Here is a 22,534-nt window from a genome sequence, read left to right on the forward strand (position 1 = left end):
CTAGTTTCACTGCCTGACTGTAACATAAAATGAGGAATAGGCTAAAAGAAATACTGACGGCGAGTGCCTTAAACTTGTTTTCAGACAGCAGGAGCACTACTTCAATAAAAGGTGGTGCAGAACTATTCTGCTGTATTTATAATTGGGAACACCATTTTATAGCTTATGATATTAATCAGAATTGAACGATTTTATTAGGATAACAGAATTTTTATGGTACTTCAGCAGTTTTCTTTAATAATTCAGACCTAGGCCTCAGACTGGGTATTTCTACCTACTCTATAATTTTTGGCACACAAACACCAAAACTTCATTTTGTTTTCATGAAGATGTTGTATAATCTTTTCCTATACTGCATGATTTATTTGGTTGGAGGATTCAAATTTATTTTTAGTGTTTTACTAAGCCCAATATGTAATTATCACACAGTTGAAATTTAACCAATATTATCTTTTCCTCAGCTTAAAGTTACTTTCTCTAAAAATCTTTTCATGACCTCAAACAACTAGGTCAGTTTTCATCCTATACACACTTCTGTCAACCTGGAGCTGCCCATGTGGTTGTCATTCCACATTAGAGTTTTATGTTCCTTTTCGAGTATAAAATGATATGCTGTGAAGCCCTTAAGTTCAAAGAGCAAGTTTTATAAGGGGGTGTTCGTATCGCCTGCTTTGTCAGAGCCAGTTTTACTTTCAAACTGTTGCCAAAATATTCTGTGTATGTCTCCTCTTTACACTGAAAATTGTCTTGGTTTGGATGATAAATTATACGGTCATTCCACTTATAAACATTGGTAAATGGTGGCTACTCGATAAAGATTTGTGGAGCTAATAAATGAATGAACAGTTGAGTGAAGGAAGGAACTGACCATAGTTATCTTTTACATTTTAAGAGGAATTTTGAAATGTCCTCTTTTAAAAACTTTACCATTCACATTGCATTCACAAGAAAAAAGGAAGAAGTGAATAATTTACTCAAATATCTTGTTACAAACTTTGCTAACACTTTCATTTGTTACTTGTGAGAAAACTACTTCTACATTTTATATGGACAGCTATCCATTGTTCTGTTTAACTCTCTTTTCTATTTCACTCTCTGTCTGATTCATACTTAGTGGCTTGTTATTTTTGTAATTTTTCATGGTATCACTGCAGATAAAACTTAAAAGATCTTTATGCGGTGTATCTGTTAAGTATAAAAATATTTCATTTATAGCTTTCAGTACTTCTTATCTATTTCTTTTTGAAGAAGTTGATCATGAATTATACATACCTGCACAGCATGAAATATTCAATTCATGTTCTTTCCTTCCATTTCAGCCTACAAAACAAAGAAAGAGTTGTTTGAACATAGAAAATATAGGATTTGTGAATAGCAATATGCCAGTGGTATTTAATAGCATTTTTCCCATAACAGGGCTCAGATGAGAAGTCTAGCATAATGATATTTCTATTTTCACACACTCAGTGCAAGTCCATATAAGTCATTCAATTAACTGAAACAGAAACTTTAAGTATACAAATTATGCTTCTCAAAATACAGAGTTTATTTTTCAAAAGTCAGAAATAATATTGATGCTAAATGGAATTATTATCAAACAAAGTCATATTTGAGAAAACTGAGAAAATTAATATAGATTTATTAAGACAATAACCACTTTTTGAATAGTAATGAAGATGTTCACCACTGATTTGAATTGGTAATTGTTGAATTATTCTGTTTGGTTCAATACCTTACACCTGAATATTTCCTATAATAAATCTTTCTAAATCTAGGAAGAATAAAGTCTTCACCATTTACTGAAGAATTCTGTTATATCTGAGGCGACTGCATGGGCTGAGACCTCAGATAGCTTCAGGTTACAGCTATCAAACTCTTCCTTAGGGAAAACTTCATGCAATAATATATTTTGTTTGAGCTACCTTACTCCTTAGACAATCTGCAGTTTTTCTCCTTTTATAAACCAATTAATCCGGGATTTGTCAATTCTTTAGCCAACTATTAGTGGCAAGTGACTTCTGTTCACCAATAAAACAAATTTTTTCTACCTACCTGATGTAGAGAAATAAATGGAAGACAACAAAATCAAACAAAATAAATAAAAACTAAATTGTGAGCTTCACTTATCTATTTACTTCATAATGCACAGCACATCAAGCTACTCCAGAAAATGTTCAATGGATGTGTAAAATGTATAGATTGTGGTCACAGTTTTACTATTTAAGCCTTTACGGTTTAGAAATTATTCAAAATGAAATTGACTGGTACAATATAAACTCAGTCATCTCATTCACTGGAAGGTTTTTTGATTTCCATTTTAAATATATGTTTTAAGTTTTCTTAAAATCTTTTCTTCAAGCTAAATAGTTCATTTAGGATTGAGACTCTGTAACAATACAATTATGGTTGTATGTTAGAAATGTCAAAGCAGTCAGTTTTAAATTTCTTTTAAATGTGATATAGTATACACTAAATTTTCAGTTCTTAACTATATTTGTTTTAGTTCATTAAAAATAACGACTGAATATTAATTTGCATTGTGTATATTGTAGTGTTTCTCAAAATAAGTATTTAATTAATTATTCTTCTGGCCCTCAGCCACTTAGAAAGTCTAAATAGAAACTGAAATTAGATTTTAAATATTTTTATCATAATGAATGATATTTATAAAGCACAAACTCTGTGCCAGGGATTGTTGTTAGTGCATTGATATGGATGTCTTATTTAATATTCACTAAAATCTATTCCATAATCATTATTATTATCACCGTGTGACAATAGATGATGAAATGATGGTATAGCAGGTTAAGAATATTTTAAGACCATGTAGATACTAAGTGGTGGAACTGGGATTCTAATCAAGAAATTTGATTCTGCAATTTGTTCTTTTGTGCTTCTTTAAGTAGCTGTCCACCAACCTCATTCCCAGAGACACTGGATAGCATTAACATCCTGTTCTAATCAAACGTGAAAAAAAATCAAATTAACAACTTATCAAATATTGCTACTCAAATGCCTCCTTTGTTAGCTTGTTATGCAATATTTTACAACTTAGTGTTTTCTTTAGATATTATAATATGCATCCTTAACAAGCTACATTTTAATCTAGATTACATATTCTAGCACTTTCTAAATAATGAAAGGCCTTAGGACATGTCACTTACCGTGCTTTTAAATTTTTTACTATTGCTGTCATATATCTTAATTTTTCATATATTTAAATTTAATCGGGCCGGGCATGGTGGCTTACACCTGTAATCCCAGAACTTTGGGAGGTCGAGGCGGGCAGATCACAAGGTCAAGGGTTTGAGACCAGCCTGGCCAATATGGTGAAACCCCGTCTCTACTAAAAATACAAAATTAGCTGAGCATGGTGGCGCATGCCTGTAGTCCCAGCTACTCAGGAGGCTGAGGCAGGAGAACCGCTTGAACCCTGGAGGTGGAAGTTGCAGTAAGCTGAGATCGTGCCATTGCACTCCAGCCTAGGCAAAAAGAGCGAGACTCCATCTCAAAAAAAATAATAATCATCATCATCATTTTGATCACTCTAGTAACTAGGTCAACTGTGGTTCTGCTCCACTGATTTATTTAATTTTATTTTTATTTTTATTTTTTTATTTTTTTGCCTCATAGCCCTGTCTCCTGGTTTGACTGGTAATTTTTTTTTTTTTTTTTGGAGATGGAGTCTTGCTCTGTTGCCCAGGCTGGAGTGCAGTGGCGCGAACTCCGCTCACTGCAAGCTCCACCTGCCAGGTTCACGCCATTCTCCTGCCTCAGCCTCCCAAGTAGCTGGGTGCCCGCCTCCAAACCTGGCTAAATTTTTTCTGTATTTTTAGTAAAGAAGGTGTTTCACCGTGTTAGCCAGGGTGGACTCGATCTCCTGACCTCGTGATCTGCCCACCTCGACCTCCCAAAGTGCTGGGATTACAGGCATGAGCCACCACACCCGGACTTGACTGGTAAATTTGTATTAAATACTATACATTGTGTGAAAAAAAAAATATTGCCAATTCTGCAAGATGTTACCATTCTACCAAAAAAAAGTTATCTTTATGTCTAGTATGCAATTAAAGCAGGAGAAAATCACTTTATCACAGCATGGAGCTAAGCCGAGATGGATTTTGTTCATTATAGAATCCTTGTGTTCCCAGTGCTACTTACTTTTAGAGGAAAATTTTCAAGGATCTCAACTCAATCGTCTTCTTGGAAAGCCCTGAAATCTGCTTACTTTTTCCATTGTTCTATGAGACTGCTGGAAACTCTCCTCACTTCCTCAGTCCCGCCCTGCTTACCAATTAAGAAATGGCTCAAGAATGAAAGCGGTGTTCACTCTTTATTCTCTTTGTCTTTCATTCTCTCTGGGTTCTTAATTTTTATACTCTGGCTGCTTTGGAAATTGTGACTTTTTTTTTTTTTTGGCCTTATCAGCCTCATGAAACTGCCTAAACTACCAAACTTTTCAGCCACTTGTAGCACCTTCTGCTTGCCTTTCAGCCATACACAGGCTGCATACAAATTGGCAAAAACTCTGAGGGCAAAGTTGGTGAAATGTTAGGTTCACCGAAATGTACTTCCCCTCTGTCTGGTGATTTGAAGAAGACTGTGACTCAGCTGCCTTTGTTTCTCTGTAGTAACTCCAAACAGGTGGCTTTTGAACTTTATCTAGCTATCCTAAGTAGGACTTGGTAGGAGGGTTGTTCTTATAACATCTATTCTGTCTTAGGAGAAAGAACTCCCCTCTACTCTTCACTTGGTTAAAATCTGTTCATCTTCAATCACATCATTCCCACTTGTCTTCAAAGCATTTATCTCAGTTTGTAAGCTTGCATTATGCATTAAATTATGAGCTTACTCAGAACAAGGAATGGGCTTCTTTTGTACAACACAAAATCCCAAGTATCTACTTCAGGAATATTTGAAGGAATTATATCCATCAAAGACAAAAAAAAAAAAAAGGAATGAAAAAGTGAAAAACACTGCTGCTGATAGCTTATAATGCGCAAAATATGAACTTCCCTTTCTTGTGGGAAGATTATACATGCTTGTTCATTGATCATATGCTTGACTGTGGGACTTGCTTTAGTTAAAGAAATATAAATGGGGGAGATTAAATTTTACTAGAAGAACAGCCATCATTGGGTTCCTCTGTATTCTCCCCTTTACCTCTGGCAAAAGAATAGCCTGCAATGTGTCTTAAGCTATTTCTTCAGCCTATGCCTCTTCATGAAGAAGTAGAAGAGTTAACTGAACTCAATCAGTAACACATATGTAACGTGAATGATAAATAAATATTTGTTCTTGTAAGATGCTGAAATTTTAGGACCCTTTTACGGCTGCATAGCTTGGGTAAATTGACAGATACAAGAATTAATACCAGGAATGAGTACTTTTATAACAAAAATTATGGTGCTAGTTTTGGTGCTAAGTAGAAAGGGTGATGAAACTCTTAATGAATGTTAGAAAAATAACAAGCCATGTTATGTAACATGAAAGTTTTGTTTAAACTGTAGCATGGTCAGGTGAATATGGCAGATGAGGCAAAACTTTGTAGCCCAATTTATTCAACTTTCAAGGCATTGGTTGTGCGACATGTAGTTGAGCATTGTTGTGGGGAAGAATTGGGCCCTTTCTGTGGACCAATGCCGGCTGCAGGACAGTTTTTGGTGCATCTCATCCATTTGCTGAACATACTTCTCAGATGTAATGGTTTCACCTGGATTCAGGAAGCTGTAGTAGATCAGACCAGCAGCAGATCACCAAACGGTGATGACGACCTTTTTTTTTTTTTTTAAATATAATTTAAGTTCTGGGATACATGTGCAGAACGTGCAGGTTTGTTACATAGGTATACACGTGCCATGGTGGTTTGCTGCACCCATCAACCCATCATCTACATTATGTATTTCTCCTAATGCTATCTCTCCCCCAGCCCTCCAGCCCCCCAGCCCCCGACAGGCCCTAGTGGACCACGACTTTTTTTTTGATGCAAGTTCAGCTTTGGGACGTGTTTTGGAGCTTCTTCTCAGTCCAACCACTGAACTGGTCCTTGCCAGTTGTCATATAAAATCCACTTTTCGTCGCACATCACAATCTCCTTGAGAAATGGTTTGTTGGGTAGAATAAGAGAAGATGACACTTCAAAACATTTTTTTTTATTTTTGCTAAGCTCATGAGCCATCCACTTATCGAGCTTTTTCACCTTTCCAATTTAATTCAAATGCCAAACAACCATAGAATGGTTGATGTTGAGTTCTTTGTTGTAAGAGGATCATCTTCGATAATTACTTTCTTGTCTTTGTTTTTTTTTATTTTATTTATTTATTTATTTATTTATTTTTGACATGGAGTCTTGCTCTGTCATCCAGGCTGTCAGTGGGGCGATCTTGGCTCACTGCAACCTCTGACTCCAGGGTTCAGGTGATTCTTCAGCCTGAGACACCTGAGTAGCTGGGATTACAGGTGCGCACCACAATGCCCAGCTAATGTTTGTATTTTTAGTAGAGATGGGGTTTCGTCATGTTGCTCAGGCTGTTCTCGAACTTCTAAGCTCAAAGTTATCCACCTGCCTCGGCCTCCCAAAGTGCTGGGATTACAGGCATGAGCCACCACGCCTGGCAATGATTGCTTTTAATTGGTCGCTGTCAAGTTCCGATGGATGGCCACTATGTGCCTCATCTTCAAGGCTCTCATCTCCTTTGCAAAACTTCTTGGACCACCATTGCAATGTACCTTTGTTAACAGGTCCTGGGCCAGATGTGTTTTTGATGTTGCGAGTTGTCTCTGCTGCTTTACAACCCATTTTGAACTCGATTAAGAAAATAACTCAAATTTGCTTTTTGTCCAACATGATTTCTGTAGTCCAAAATAAACATAAAATAGACAGCAAATAATAAATCATTAGCAAAAAAGACATAAAACAAGAAATGCCCACTAAAATGATGTATAACATAACCACATTTATTTTAGAATGTATTCTAATATCAAACGGCAAATTCCAACAATGCAAAAACCGCAATTCCTTTTGCACCAACCTAATACCAACTTCTCTGAGTTCAGTGAGACATAACACACTCATATGCAACGGGCTACATGAAGTGGGTTTATTACTTAATAGGTAGGCAGCAAGGGACAAAAGAGGCCCAGGATTCATTGCAAGCAGTCCTCAAGGCTCAAGACAGCTTCCCAGGGTGGATGAAGTCTCAACTGCAGGTGCCCCACTTCCACCACAGCTGAGAGACCCGGAAAAAGCAGCCCACCCTAGGTTATACACTCAGGGGTCACATGACTCATTGGGCAAAGCTTTGAAGGACATCTTGCTCCCTGGGGAGAGAGGGACAATATTGGGGCTGTTCTGGAAGTCCCCTAGGAGGGACAGGAACAAGGCTCCGGCTGTTTCAGAAAGTTCCCCCTATTTCAAGATACTGCGTTGCCAGCACATTTACAGTTATTCTTGAGAACTACAAGCAAGAAAGCAGGAAAAACTCAGTCTGTCCAAGGTCTCCTGGAGAATTGTTCTAATACAGGCTCCTGCGCATTCTTTGCTAAGGTCTCAGGGGGCTGGAACCAAAGTGTTGGCATAACCAGACTCATCAATAGGACCTAGGGAAAATTCTACTTCCAAGCTCATTCAATTTTTTGGTAGAATTCAGTCTTTGTGAGACTGAGGACCCCAATTAATGAGGACTGTCAGCTGGGGGCGGCTCTCAGCCTTGAAGGGCAGCTCATATTTCTCCTTATGTAACTCCCTATATTTTCTAACCAGCAATGGAGTTTTAAATCTTTCACACTTGCAATATCCCTCACACAGACAATCTCAGGCAGACATCCTCTCTTTTTAAAACTCACAATAAATTAATTAGTAACTTTAATTAGATTTGCAAAATCTCTTTTGTCATATGATGGAACAAAATTAGAGCATGATATCACATTAAATTCACATTCATGGGGATTAGAATAAACTACCTAACAGAGCTGTTCTAGTGAGTATTTATTTGTGTGTTTATAAGGTTTGAAAAGATGTTGCAATAGTATGGATTATGTTTTTGCATTTTCCCTGAGTTTCCTAGTCTTAAGGTAGTATTTTAATATTAATTTCTACACTAGGACCGCCCTCACATCAAAATCCATGAAAATTTGGTGTGTGCATGTATGTATATGCAGGCATATTTATTGATTTTTTTTTTTGAGGCGGAGTTTCGCTCTTGTCGCCCAGGTTGAAGTGCAATGGCATGAACTCGGCTCACTGCAACCTCTGCCTCCTGGGTTCAAGTGATTCTCCTGCTCAGCCTCCCGAGTTGCTGGGATTATAAGTGCCCACCACCATGCCTGGCTAATTTTTGTATTTTTAGTAAAGACAGGGTTTCACCATGTTGGCCAGGCTGGTCTTGAACTCCTGACCTCAAGTGATCCTCCCGCCTCAGCTTCCCAAAGTTCTGGGATTACAGGCGTGAGACGCACCCAGCCTATTTATTGATTCTTTAAGGGAAAGTTAGCTTTTCTTTCCATCAAAAACTCTGGAGAGAATGTTTCTTTGTTGCTTCTCTGGTCAAATGTACAGGATTCTTAAAGTCTCTTTTCTTAAAAGGGCAGAATTTCCAGAGACTGTATAAAAGGATCTAAATTTACCTTGAACAGGTTGAAGGTTGCATTTTCCATCTCTGCTTGTACATTAAAGCTCCAGCATAACTCCTTATGTATGTTAATCCAAAGTATATATACACAAAGCATTCATAAAGGCAGGCTCTTTGATTTTTTTCCTGAGGATTCTGTGAGTAAATGAAGACAAGGAAGTCTTCTCTCTGAGAGTAATGTCCTATAAAGCACACAAGGTGAACTTCTTTATAGTTGGGCATATTCCACCAATAATCATTTGTCTGTTTGTCCTATAAAAGCTGCAACTTTCTCCAGTTTGTTTTTTTCTTTTGCTTCTTTGTACACAAATTACAGTGCTCCATGGAGCAAAACATATAGTCATATAGGTGTTATGATCTGACATTTTACTCTGTCGGTGCTATCGCTGGAGTAGCACTGCCACACATTTTACTAGAGAAGCTTGCGATTAAGTATGACTGATAATAAATTGTTCTATGATGAGAACGCTAACACAGCTTTCTCTGTCCTGGTAAAGATTATGTTCAAGAATAGGCAAAACTAATTGATGGTGCTAGAAAGTGAAAGAAAGCTTTTCAAAGAGGGGCAGATGTGGATATTGACTAAAACTGAGCATAAGGGAACATTATTGGGTGAAATACTCTATATCATTATCTAGGTTGTGATTAAATATGTAAATATTAATCAAGCTGTGGACTTGTGCTTTTTACTTCTTGAAAAAGCATAAAAGCATATGCTTTTTACTCTCAAAAAGCATAAAAGATAAAATATTAAGTGAGTAAACCAACAAAACATCCTTTATTTAGAACTGCTAGTTATACATGCACAATATATTTGTATCTCTCATTATTTGTACTCGTATTAGTTATAAACATCCTAGTATGATTTTTGACTTGTTAACATTTTATTTCAATTAACATATTTCCTAATTTTTACATGATCTCTCTTTTTATTAATTTACTATATAAAAGATACCCATGAAAGACATGATTTTATAGATTCTATTTAAAATTAGAATCCTGTGAAACAGGTTTTAGCAATAAATGTTACTTCAGAAAAGAGTGAGAATACTTACACCATTTATTCTTTAGTGTAAGAGTAAAATTCATTCTTTTAGATAGAGAAAAAGAAAATAGTTAAGTATAGAAAAACTAAAAAGTGGACAATAAGAGTATCTTGAGAAAGAGTTGCATACACAGGTTAATACCTTTTGTTCTGATCTGAACTAAATCACATTTTTTGTCTCCTATATTGATGCATTTAGCTAACTGAAAATTCAAGATTTAAGACAATGTAATGGTAACAAATTATTTTTAAAATTGCAAACATCCTTACGTAAATACTTAAAATTATTATGTAGTCGAACTATTTCACTTCAAAGTACAATCAATACCATTACTATTACTCCAGTAGCTTTGAAGCTAGAAAGAAAACATTTTAAAAAATATTACTGAATGAGACCTCATCTCTAAAAGAAAAAAAGTAAATAAAAATAACTATTTTAAGTTTGATCAATTTTAGAAGTATGTATTACCCATGATAAAACAAGTTAGGTATATTTTTAAACTATTTTACCTTTTTATTTGGAAGACAATTTTTCACATATCCTGGAAAATTGTACTAATTTTTGGCTTTGAGTTTTAATTCTTTAAAAAAAGTTAGTAGTATTATCACTACCAAAGCAGAATATATATGCATATATTTTCTCAAATATATGCATATATATTTTTTCTCAAATATATACATACATATTTCTCAAATATATACATACATATTTTCTCAAATATATACGTATATATTTTCTCAAATATATACGTATATATTTTCTCAAATATATACATGTGTATGTTGTAGATTTTTAAAATGTGCATACTTTTGAATGGCTTTTAGTGGATACACTATTCCTTAGGTAGAAATATAAGTTTAGCACAGATTTGCAAATAATAGGAAACCTCTATGCCTAACAGAAAATTAAAAGGCTTAGAAGAAGGATCTTCCTAATGAACAAAGAAACATTGATATCAGAGAGTGAATAAACAAAATTAAATTATCCACTCTGCAGTTATATTAACATCTTTGCAAGAAAAAATAGGATATAAGAAAATACTGTTTATAAGAAGCAAACAAATAGAGAAAAACCACCATCCCTTATTTAGGAATTACTGTGGTGCCATTTTATCTTTTATCACTGTTCTCCTAACTCTCCTTATATTTATTTGTATGTCTGAATTTTAATTTACAGAAAACAAAGGCATACAGATATTTAAATGATGGCATAGCTATGTTAGTCAAAACAAGTCGCCAAAACCTACATTGTAATTATAGAGAATATTGTATGCAGAAGGGAAATCAAGCTTTGTTACTTCAATTTGTCTCAAATTCATCTTGAAATACTTTATATATAAATGTATCTATGATATAAAAATAAAGTCAGTGCATTTAAAAATAGAATATTTTGGAAAACTACATAAATATCATGCTAAATAATGTGGACAGGAAAAGGTGAATTATTTTTTCTTAGAAAATTGACAAATTTACAAGAAAAAAACAAACAACCCCATCAAAAAGTGGGAGAAGGATATGAACAGTCACTTCTCCAAAGAAGACATTTATGCAGCCAAAAGACCCATGAAAAAATGCTCATCATCACTGGCCATCAGAGAAATGCAAATCAAAACCACAATGAGATACCATCTCACACCGGTTAGAAATGCGGTCATTAAAAAGTCAGGAAACAACAGGCGCTGGAGAGGATATGGAGAAATAGGAACACTTTTACACTGTTGGTGGGACTGTAAACTAGTTCAACCATTGTGGAAGTCAGTGCGGCGATTCCTCAGGGATCTAGACCTAGAAATACCATTTGACCCAGTCATCCCATTACTGGGTATATACCCAAAGGATTATAAATCATGCTGATATAAAGACACATGCACACATATGTTTATTGCAGCACTATTCACAATAGCAAAGACTTGGAACCAACCGAAATGTCCATCAATGATAGACTGGATTAAGAAAATGTGGCACATAGACACCATGGAATACTATGCAGCCATAAAAAAGGATGAGTTCATGTCCTTTGTAGGGGCATGGATGAAGCTGGAAACCATCATTCTCAGCAACCTATTGCAAGGACAAAAAACCAAGCACTGCATGTTCTCACTCATAGGTGGGAATTGAACAATGAGAACACATGGACACAGGGACACAGGAAGGGGAACAGACACCAGGGCCTGTTGTGGGGTCGGGGGAAGGGGGAGGGATAGCATTAGGAGATATACCTAATGTTAAATGACGAGTTAATGGGTGCAGCACACCAACATGGCTCATGTATACATATGTAACAAACCTGCATGTTGTGCACGTGTACCCTAAAACTTAAAGTACAAAAAAAAAAAGAAAATTGAATTGTTAAAAATTATTACTGGTTAAATAGGAGCATCTTACACTAAGAAATCTGAGTCATTTATCAATCCTTTATCTTTTATTCAATTATAGAAACACCAGGGGTCCCCAAGAGACACCCTCCTCATCCCCCACCACTCTTACAGTTCAGTGAAATTGTTCCCTGTGGTGATATTCCACATAACACAGAATAATTCTTCTTCATCTGTGCTTACAGCGAACTGCTCATTTTTAATAAATATATTGATTTTTCTTAAGTTTCTTTGAAGCTGATTGACTCATCTCTTCCTGATCAGCATTTTTATCACCATTAACATAATTACTACCCATCTACATGAAAGAAACTTCATTCTACATTATTTGGGAAGAAAATCATATCAAGAGACACATTTATTATGTGCCGAGTCACAGCAAATAAAATGATGCAAAGCTTAAAATCTAACATTTTTTCAGGAAGTTGGGTAATGTTCTTAAGACTTCTTTTTTGAAATATAGGCATACCTCGGAGATGTTATAGGTTCAGTTCCTTGACCAGGGCAACAAAGTGAATATTGTAATAAAGCGAGTCGCACAAATTTTTGGTTTCTCAGTAGATATAAAAGTTATATTTACACAATAATGTAGTCTATTAACTGTGAAACTGCATTGTGTCTAAAAATGCATATACCTTAATGAAAAATATTTTACTGTTATGAAATGCTAACGATCATCTCCTCTGAGCCTTCAGTGAGTTGTAATTTTTTGGCTAGAGGTGGGTCTAGCCTCAATATGAATGGTTGCTGACTGATCAGAGTAAAGGTTGCTGAAGTTTGTGGTGGCTGTAGAAATTTCTGAAAATAAGACAACGATAAATTTGTTGCATCAATTGACTATTCCTTTCATGTAAGAATTCTTGGTAGCAAACACTTTTGTTTTATAACATTTAACTTACAGTAGAACTTATTTCAAAATCGGAATCAGTCCTCTCAAACCCTGGTGCGGCTTTATCAACTAAGTTTATATAATATTTTAGGTCCTTTGCTGTCATTTCAACAATGTTCACAGCATCTTCACCAGAAGTAGACTTCATCTCAAGAAAGCACTTTCTTTGCCAATCCATAAGAATCAACATCTTATTTGTTCAATTTTGATCATGAGATTTCAGGAATTCACTCACGTCTTCAGGCTCCACTTTTAATTTTATTTATTTTGCTATTTCTACCACATCTGCAATTACTTCCTTCACTGTGGTTTTGAATACCTCAAAATTATCTATGAGAGTTGGAATCAACCTCTTCCAAAAATCCTGTTAACTTTAATATGTTGACTTCCTCCCATGAATCACAAATATTTTAATGCCATCTAAACAGGTGAGAATTCTTTCCATAAGATTTCCAATTGACTTTGCCTAGATCCGTCGGAGGAATTACTATGGATAGCAGCTACAGCCTCATAAAATGTATTTTTAAATAAAAAGATTTGAAAGTCAAAATTACTCCATGAACTATGTGTAGCAGAATGGATGTTGTATTATGAGGCATGGAAACAACATGAATCTCCTGGTACACCTTCATCCGAGCTCTTAGGTAATCAGGTGCATTGTTATGTAAGTAGTATTTTGAAAGAAATTTTTTTTTTTTTTCCGAGCAGTAGGTCTCCAGAGTGGGCTTAAAATATTTAGTAAACTATGCTGTAAATAGATATGCTATAATCCAGCTCTCTCTTCCATTTCCAGCAAAATGGAAATTGTTGTTCCATTTATAGAGCACAGGCAAAGAGCTCTAGGATTTTCAGAATGGTAAGGGAGAATCGGCTTCAACTTAAAAGTCATCAGCTGCATTAGTCCCTCACAAGAGATCTGCCTCTCTGCACTAATCCTTTGCAGTTTTGAAGCCAGACATTGACTTCTTTCCAGCCATGAAAGTTTTAGATGGCATATTTTTGCAACAGAAAGCTGTTTCATCTGCATTGAAAATCTGTTGTTAGCATAGCCACCTTCCTCCATTATCTCAGTTAGATCTTCTGGAAAGTTTGCTGCAGCCTCCACATCCGCACTTGCTGCTTTACCTTGCACTCATGTTATGAGGATGACTTCTTTCCTTAAACTTCATAAGCCAACAATTGCTAATTTCAACCTTTTCCTCTGAAGCTTTGCCATCCCTCTGACACTTCACAGAATTAAAGAGAGTAGCACTTTTAATTTCCTTCAAGAATTTTTTCCTTTGTTTTCACAACTTGGCTAACTATTCAGCACAAGTGGCCTAGATTGCATCCTATCTGAGCTTTCTATATATCTTCCTCACTGAACATAATCATTTCTAGCTTTTGACTTAAAGTGGGAGATATGCAACTATTCCTCTCAGTTGAACACTTAGAGGCCATTGTAGGGTTATTCATTGGCCTCATTTTCATACCGTTATATTTCAGGAAATAGGCCTGAGAAGAGGGAGACAGATGGGGGAACAACTGGTTGGTGAAGCTGTCAGTCCACATACAGCATTTGTTAATTAAGTTTACCATCATATATGATTGCAGTTTGTGGCACTCCAAAGCAATTACAATAGTGGCATCAACGATTACTGATCACAGGTTACCATAGCAGATATAATAATAATGAAAACAAATAATTGAAATATGTGAGGATTGTCAAAATATAACACAGAGACACAAAGTGAGCACATGCTGTTAAAAAAATGATGCTGATAAACTTGCTCAGTACAGGGTTGCCACAAACCTTCCATTTGCAAAAAAATGCAATATCAGTGAAGTGCAATAAAGTGAAGTCTAATAAAATGAGGTATGCCTGAATATAGTTGTGTGGGACTCATAAAGTAATTGTCTGAATATAATTACATATAGCATTGCATCTGCCCAAGTGTAACCAGATAGTATTCTGAAAGTGATTATAAACCGGACCTGTCTTGAATTAAATACCCACAGCAAACTTGTTTTATCAACATTGACATCTACTTTATTTAATACTTATAAAGCTGAATTTTTAAAAACATTATTTTCTCCTGTCATTACCATCACTACTAAGTTTATAGTTTCTGGAAATTTTGCTTCTTTTCTAGTGTGTTCCAGTAAGAAAAAAAAAATCAGTTTATTCTCAAGCTGTAATCAGTGGTCTGAAAGAGTTCTGGTTCTCACTGCGTCATCTTGTACATGTCAGTACATGTCAGTTCTCCAGGCCAAGCCTTTCTCAATTGCAAAATGAGGGCAATGAACTATTTTATTTCTATGGTCACTTTTAACACCAAACCACACTAAATCATGTGATTCTAAGTTTAGTTTCATTGCCTCAATAAAAAATTTTTGAAAGAGTTCACTTGGCTTTCCCTTTATTTTTTAACAACCACCACGACAAAACAAGTAAGTATAGGAAGTTCTGTCACGGCATGCATTTTTATCAATAGGAGTATTTTTGTTTTCTTGGGAAACATGATTTATATTAGGGAGAATGCTATTTGTTGTGATGTGGTGACCCCTGGGAAGATAGCTGTTGCATGGGCGACTCAGACACTTTGAGGTTCTAATGATTTGTCCATCATAATAACGGTGATAACAATGACATGATTTAGGCACTAAATATGTATAAGAGGGCCAGACAAATGAAAATACTGGTCATAATAAGAAAGAAACCCCATTGGTCTTGTGCACTATCTACATGTAAAAAAAATTGATTTGCTTTATTATATTTTGAATTTATATATACAGAAAAAATGTTTATAACCAAAGCGTCTGGAGAACATTAGCATTATTAATCGATGTTGAAAGGCCTCTAGTAGAGAACAAAATTAAGAACTGGTTTTAAAAGATTTATGAGAGACAAACCTCTATTGAGACTGATCTAGATTAGACAATAAGAGAGAAAAAAATATATAAAGTACAGAAAAAATTGCCAAAGTACAGAAAAAATTGCCAAATAATTACAGATATCACAGGATTTAAAACAAGAAAAATATTATAAAAATATATGCAGACAGTTCAAAGCATAGATGAAATGGGTGCTTTCTGAAAATGCCAAAATTGATATGAGGAAAAAGAAAATAAATACACTGATAATCATTTAAAAAAATGGCAATAGAGATCAAAGACTTTCCCCTGGAAAATCTCATAGATGATAGAAGAATTTTACCAAAAAATTAAGTAATAGAATATCTCTATATTATGCAGATAATTATAGAAAATATAAAAAAGAAAGCCATCCAATTCATTTATAAGCTACTATAACCTTGGTTACAAGTCCAAATGGAAATATAAGAAATAAAACTATAAGCCTATTTCACTTATAAACCTAGATGCTAACTTCCAAAAGTCCAAGGAATACCGTTCTGGAAAAAAATAGACTTCATCCAATTGAAAAATGCCTTCTGTGTTCATTACATACATTTAACCACAGAACTGAAACTAAAACAAACGTGGTGATTAGACTAACAACACAGTATATATACGTATTTACTCTAATGATGTGGAAATGACACAAGAAGCAAAGTTAGGAAGGAGAGAAGGGGTTGCAGAAAAGTTAGCATGCTAAAGACTTTATTTCTAATTGCTAATAGTCGAAGGTTATTTAAAATTTACAAATAAAGTAAGAATCATATGAATGCTTAAGATTTAAGATACAAAGACAAACATGAAAGACCTGCACACTACAAACTACAAACATTATTGAAAAAACAAAAAGAAAATGTATTTAAGTGGAAAAACTTCTCATGTCCCCATGTCTATGGGCTTTTTTTTTTTTCTGTGCTTGGCTTATTTTACTTTATTTCATTTTATTTTTTATTTTTTTAATATACGTTAAGTTCTAGGGTACATGTGCACAAAGTGCAGGTTTGTTACATATGTATACATGTGCCATGTTGGTGTGCTGCACCCATTAACTCATCATTTACATTAGGTATATCTCCTAATGCTATCCCACCCCCTTCCCCCCACCCCACAACAAGCCCCAGTGTGTGATGTTCCCTTTCCTGTGTCCAAGTGTTCTCATTGTTCAATTCCCACCTATGAGCGTGTTTGGTTTTTTGTCCTTGTGATAGTTTGCTGAGAATGATGGTTTCCAGCTTCATCCATGTCCCTACAAAGGACATGAACTCATCAATTTTTATAGCTGCATAGTATTCCATGGTGTGTATGTGCCACATTTTCTTAATCCAGTCTATCATTGATGGACATTTGGGTTGGTTCCAAGTCTTTGCTATTGTGAATAGTGCTGCAATATACATATGTGTGCATGTGTCTTTATAGCAGCATGATTTATAATCCTTTGGGTATATACCCAGTAATGGGATGGCTGGGTCAAATGGTATTTCTAGTTCTATGTCCTTGAGGAATCGCCACACTGTCTTCCACAATGGTTGAACTAGTTTACAGTCCCACCAACGGTGTAAAAGTGTTCCTATTTCTCCACATCCTCTCCAGCACCTGTTGTTTCCTGACTTTTTAATGATCGCCATTCTAACTGGTGTGAGATGGTATCTCATTGTGGTTTTGATTTGCATTTCTCTGATGGCCAGTGATGATGAGCATTTTTTCATGTGTCTTTTGGCTGCATAAATGCCTTCTTTCGAGAAGTGTCTGTTCGTATCCTTTGCCCACTTTTTGATGAGGTTGTTTGTTCTTTTCTTGTAAATTTGTTCAAGTTCTTTGTAGATTCTGGATATTAGCCCTTTGTCAAATGAGTAGATTGCAAAAATTTTTTCCCATTCTGTAGTTGCCTGTTCACTCTGATGGTAGTTTCTTTTGCCATGCAGAAGTTCTTTAGTTTAATTAGATCCCATTTGTCAATTTTGGCTTTTGTTGCCATTGCTTTTGGTGTTTTAGACATGAAGTCATTTCCCATGCCTATGTCCTGAATGGTATTGCCTAGGTTTTCTTCTAGGGTTTTTATGGTTTTAGGTCTAACATTTAAGTCTTTAATGCATCTTGAATTAATTTTTGTATAAGGTGTAAGGAAGAGTTCCAGTTTCAGCTTTCTACATATGACTAGCCAGTTTTCACAGCACCATTTATTAAATAGTGAATCCTTTCCCCATTTCTTGTTTTTGTCAGGTTTGTCAAAGATGAGATGGTTGTGGATGTGTGGCATTATTTCTGAGGGCTCTGTTCTGTTCCACTGGTCTATATCTCTGAAGAATTGAAAATGCAAGATGGGAAACAGAACTTAGAGGAAGAATCCTACAAAGCAACTTCAATAAGGGAAACATAAATTTGCAAATGCTATTTTATTTAAGTTATCGTATGATAATAAATGAAAACTATTGCTAAAAAAACATTTTCTGACACTTCGTTCTGCTGGTAACTGTAGTAGTTTTCTGGGTCTACAATTACAACATGCCACAAACTGAGTGGCTTCAGCAACATAAATCTATTGTCAAACATTTCTGGAGGTTAGCAGTTTGAGAATTAGGTGTCCAATAGGGCCATACTCCTTCTGAAGGCTCTGCAGAAGAATTTGTTCCATGCCTCTCTCCTAGTGTCAGGTAGTTTTCCAGCAATCTCTAGTGCTTGTTGGCTTATGGCAGCATAATTTCAGTCTTCATATGGCCACCTCTCTCCATGCACGTCCAACCTCTCTCTGTATAAGGACACCAGTTATACAGGACTAGGAACCACCATATACCAATATGACCTCATCTTAGTAATTACATCTGAAATGACCCTATGATCCTATTTCCAATTAAGATAAGATTCTGAGGTACTTTGACTTAGGACATTGACTTACGAATTTAAGGGAACTTATTCACTTATAATAGTAATATAAATGCTTACTTCCTTAAGCATCTTACAAAAACATTAACTTCAATTTAAAGATAATTTTTATTTGAAACAAAAATAAAACAAAACAAAAAATACTGCCATCCAATTTGAAAACATGTTGTTTGTAAATTTTGATTCCTGTGTGGCTTAAGTTATTATCATATCAAGCATACAGGATTAGATATAAAGTGGATAGTACTGTGCAGTCTTTAAATTATATAGGAGGGAGAATGCAATCAGAAGTTTTAAACCTACCATTACCTAAGATTTATAAACTCTATTATAAAATGAATACAAAGTTAATGTTACATGTACAAGTATATTTTTGCAAAACTATCATCTACTTCAAATAAAAACTTTTTCTAATAATATAAATGATGAATAGATCTTCAATTGTGCATTCCTCACAGATGCCTTCCACTCTCAAGATGTATGTTTTATTGTATTTTTTTCTGCTAAAACTCACCTCACCAGGGGATTCCTTCTTCTAAATAAAGAGCAAACTTTCACATAAAAGGAAAAATGGTTTTTACTCACAACAAAAAGTTAGATCCTGCTGAGTGTTTCCCCAGGCGTCTATAAAAATTCACAGGTGATGTTCTATCACCTTAATAAGAAAACCAAAACAGCTTTGATCAGCTAAACAAAAACAGTTTTTATTCCAAACACATTAAAATATACAAAGAAATCATAGTACAAGCATTGCTTTTGGCTTTTATTTTCTTGTGTATTATGTTTTATGAAAAAACTTTGAAATGCACTTTAAAATACTTTCTAACTTTTAAAGTATCATTTGAAACAATTCCATGCTGGGTGTGGTAATTAGTTTAATTTCCTGCTGTGTTATGGACCTGACCAGTATTTTTTATTTTATTTTATTTTTTTTTTACTTACAAGAAATTTAAAGGCTGGGTGCGGTGGCTCATGCCTGTAATCCTAGCACTTTGGCTGGCAGATTGTCCTAGCTCAGGAGTTTGAAACCAGCCTGGGCAACATAGTGAAACCCTGTCTGTACTAAAAATACAAAAAAATTAGCCGGCATGGCTGTGTGTACCTGTAATCCCAGCTACTTGTGAGGCTAGGGCAGGAGAATTGCTTGAACTCAGGAGGTGGAGGTTGCAGTGAGCCAAGATGATGCCACTGCACTCCATACTCCAGCCTGGTTTGATGGAGTGAGACTCCATCTCCAGAAAAAAAAAAAAAAAAAATTAGAAATACTAGTATGCCTAATTTTAAAAATGTCAGTAATTTAAAAATACATATGTAGTTATTTTATAATACAAATCCAGCTCTTAAATCTCACATATTGGTTTGATAATCATGCAAATATCTCTGATCTAAACATTTCTATGGTTATTAGATATTTTTCTTTTTCTAAAATTTTAGGTTTTTAGAAAATTTAACATTTTTTTCTCATTAAAAGTGTAATACTTGTTAAGTTTCTATAATTTGGAATATGGAGAAAGTTGGATGGAATTTAAAAATACCTTTTTAAGACAAAAAATATAGAGTCCCTAAATAATGTAGTTGATATAAAGTTTTTCCTGTACACGCACATATATAGTATACATATATAGTATATATATAGTGTGTATATATAGTATATGTATATATACACTGTGTGTGTATATATAGAGAGTGTACATATATATATTTATATATAGTGTGTACATATATATACACACAACAAAATTAAGATCTTATACTCCAAGTAAATTATATTGCTTTACTCTTATTTTTATTATGTTATAGATATATCTTTTTCTCATTAAAATAAGCCTGGGCACTGTGGCTCACACCTGTGATGCCAGCACTTTGGGAGCGTGAAGCAGGCAGATCACTTGGGCTAGGAGTTTGAGACCAGATTGACCAGCATGGTGAAACCCTGTCTCAAATAAAAATACAAAAATTAGTCAGGTGTTTGTGGCGCATGAGTGTAATCCCAGCTACTCAGGAAGCTGAGGTAGGAGAATGGCTTGAACCAGGGAAGTGGAGGTTACAGTGAGCAGAAATCACGCCACTGCACTCCAGCTTGGGTGACAGAGTCAGACCCTGTCTCAAAAAAATAAAAAATAAAATTACCAGATTTCAGTGGCTATATTATTCTCTTGTATAGGTGCATAATAATTGGTTTAAACATTTTTTTATATTTGACTTTCAATTTTTAAAATTTTGAGAATGTAGATTACAAATAAATCTGTTTTATCTTGATTATATCTCAATTTTCACTAAAAATTGACTTAAAAATTACAAAAAAGATCAATTTTTGAAATCTTATTGATTTTAATTTGTATTACAAAGTTTTTATGGGACTAAATTAATGTATTCTTCCAAAATAATGTACAAGAATAGTTCACAAGCAAAAATGAAAAAAAAATTTACTTTGGTTTAATTGTGGGGATTTTCTATTACTTCTGATGTTAATACTTAAAACATTTATTAATTATATCCTTCTTATGTAAGTAATCTGCATTTGTCCTTTTCTTTATTTTTCTGTTGGAATATTTATTTCTATTGCTCTGTAAGAACATCAATGGCAAGCTGTAATTTTTACAAATATTTTCCATTTTTTTTGGGGGTAGATGGGGGAGCTGGAAGACAATGTTAAACAATATATAATAAAATTGGTTAATATTACTTCTCATTAATTTTTAATAATTTTTGTTAAAATGGTGCCTCCTTGAGAAAACTAGTTAAATATTCCCATATTTTGACATATCATTTATTAACATTATAAGTGGCATTCTGCAGAAATTATTTTTGGAAATATTTTGTGTTTCATTATTCATCATAATGCTTTCTTTTTGAGGAATGGTGACATTTCATACTTTAGGAAGTGTGTGACTAAGCTTGTGTCACAGGATCTTTGGGGTGTCGCTTCACCAGCCAGAAACCTCTGTGGCCGGCGGCTCCTTTGGCCCGAGTAATACTCATGCCCGCGGGGCTCATTTCACCCACCTGGCCTGGCAGGCTACAGTCAGTTTGTGCAACCAGCCTAGATTCCACACCTGCCAAGGGTGAGCCAGGTGTGGAGCAGGGAGGGGTGTGTGGGTGAGCAAGCATGAGGTCCAGCCACTGCGCACAGCAAGGAACTCCAGCTGCCGCGGTGGGGCAGGCAACTCCAGGCCCCAGCACAGGTGCTGGCTCCATGGGAAGTTGCACCTGGACCAGTTGCACTGCACACAACTTCTGCTGCAGGCACTCGCATCTGGATAAGGGGAATATAGTGGCACCTGGAAGCTTGGAGACACCAGGAACCACAGAGCCCCAAAGATGTTGTCACAGCCCTGGCTTGGGAACCCCTAAGTCTCGACTCCCTGAAGGGCCACAGCTCTTCCCTCCTTCTCTTGACCTGCAACATGGTGGGGGCAGGGGCATATTTCAGCCTTGTTTGCATTACAGCTCTTTTAGTCCCACCATTTTGCAGGTCTCACGTTCTTGTCCATTGTCCAGGAAGAATGAGGTATGTGGACAACTGGAGGGTGAGCAAGGCAGAGAGGAGCTTCAATGAGTGGCAGAACAGTTCTCAGAATATCCAAAGAGGTAGCTCCTTTCAACAGGCAGGTCATCCTGATGAGTGTCCAGCTGTCAGTAGAGAGGAGACCAGGAGCGAACAGCTTCTTTCCATAGACAGGTAGTCCTGACATAACTGAGTCTGGCTGAGTCCAGGGTTTTTATGGGAATCATGGGCAACCATGGGCAGGCCTGGAAATAGCACTATAATTTCTCACTTTGGGCTGCAGACTTCACCCAGAACTTACAGCTTGGCTCC

At 35.5% G+C, this 22,534-nt stretch overlaps 1 long non-coding RNA gene across 1 annotated transcript in view, besides 1 other annotated feature; it reads left to right on the forward strand.

Annotated features, from left to right (window-relative positions):
- Positions 1 to 18,269, forward strand: part of LINC02315 (long intergenic non-protein coding RNA 2315) — a 186,338-nt gene extending 168,069 nt beyond the window's left edge. The window contains exon 4 of the long non-coding RNA NR_109758.1: positions 18,055 to 18,269. This is a non-coding gene — a long non-coding RNA (long intergenic non-protein coding RNA 2315). The remainder of the gene's footprint in view (positions 1 to 18,054) is intronic.
- Positions 21,803 to 22,303: an enhancer, noted in NCBI's record as "H3K27ac hESC enhancer chr14:41613785-41614285 (GRCh37/hg19 assembly coordinates)". NCBI's record gives its function as "activates a minimal SCP1, AML or CMV promoter by ChIP-STARR-seq in naive H9 embryonic stem cells {active_cell/tissue: H9 hESC(naive)}" and the evidence as "EXISTENCE:reporter gene assay evidence [ECO:0000049][PMID:30033119]".

Source organism: Homo sapiens, chromosome 14, assembly GCF_000001405.40.
Source record: "Homo sapiens chromosome 14, GRCh38.p14 Primary Assembly".
In the NCBI taxonomy this organism is placed as follows: Eukaryota; Metazoa; Chordata; class Mammalia; order Primates; family Hominidae; genus Homo; species Homo sapiens.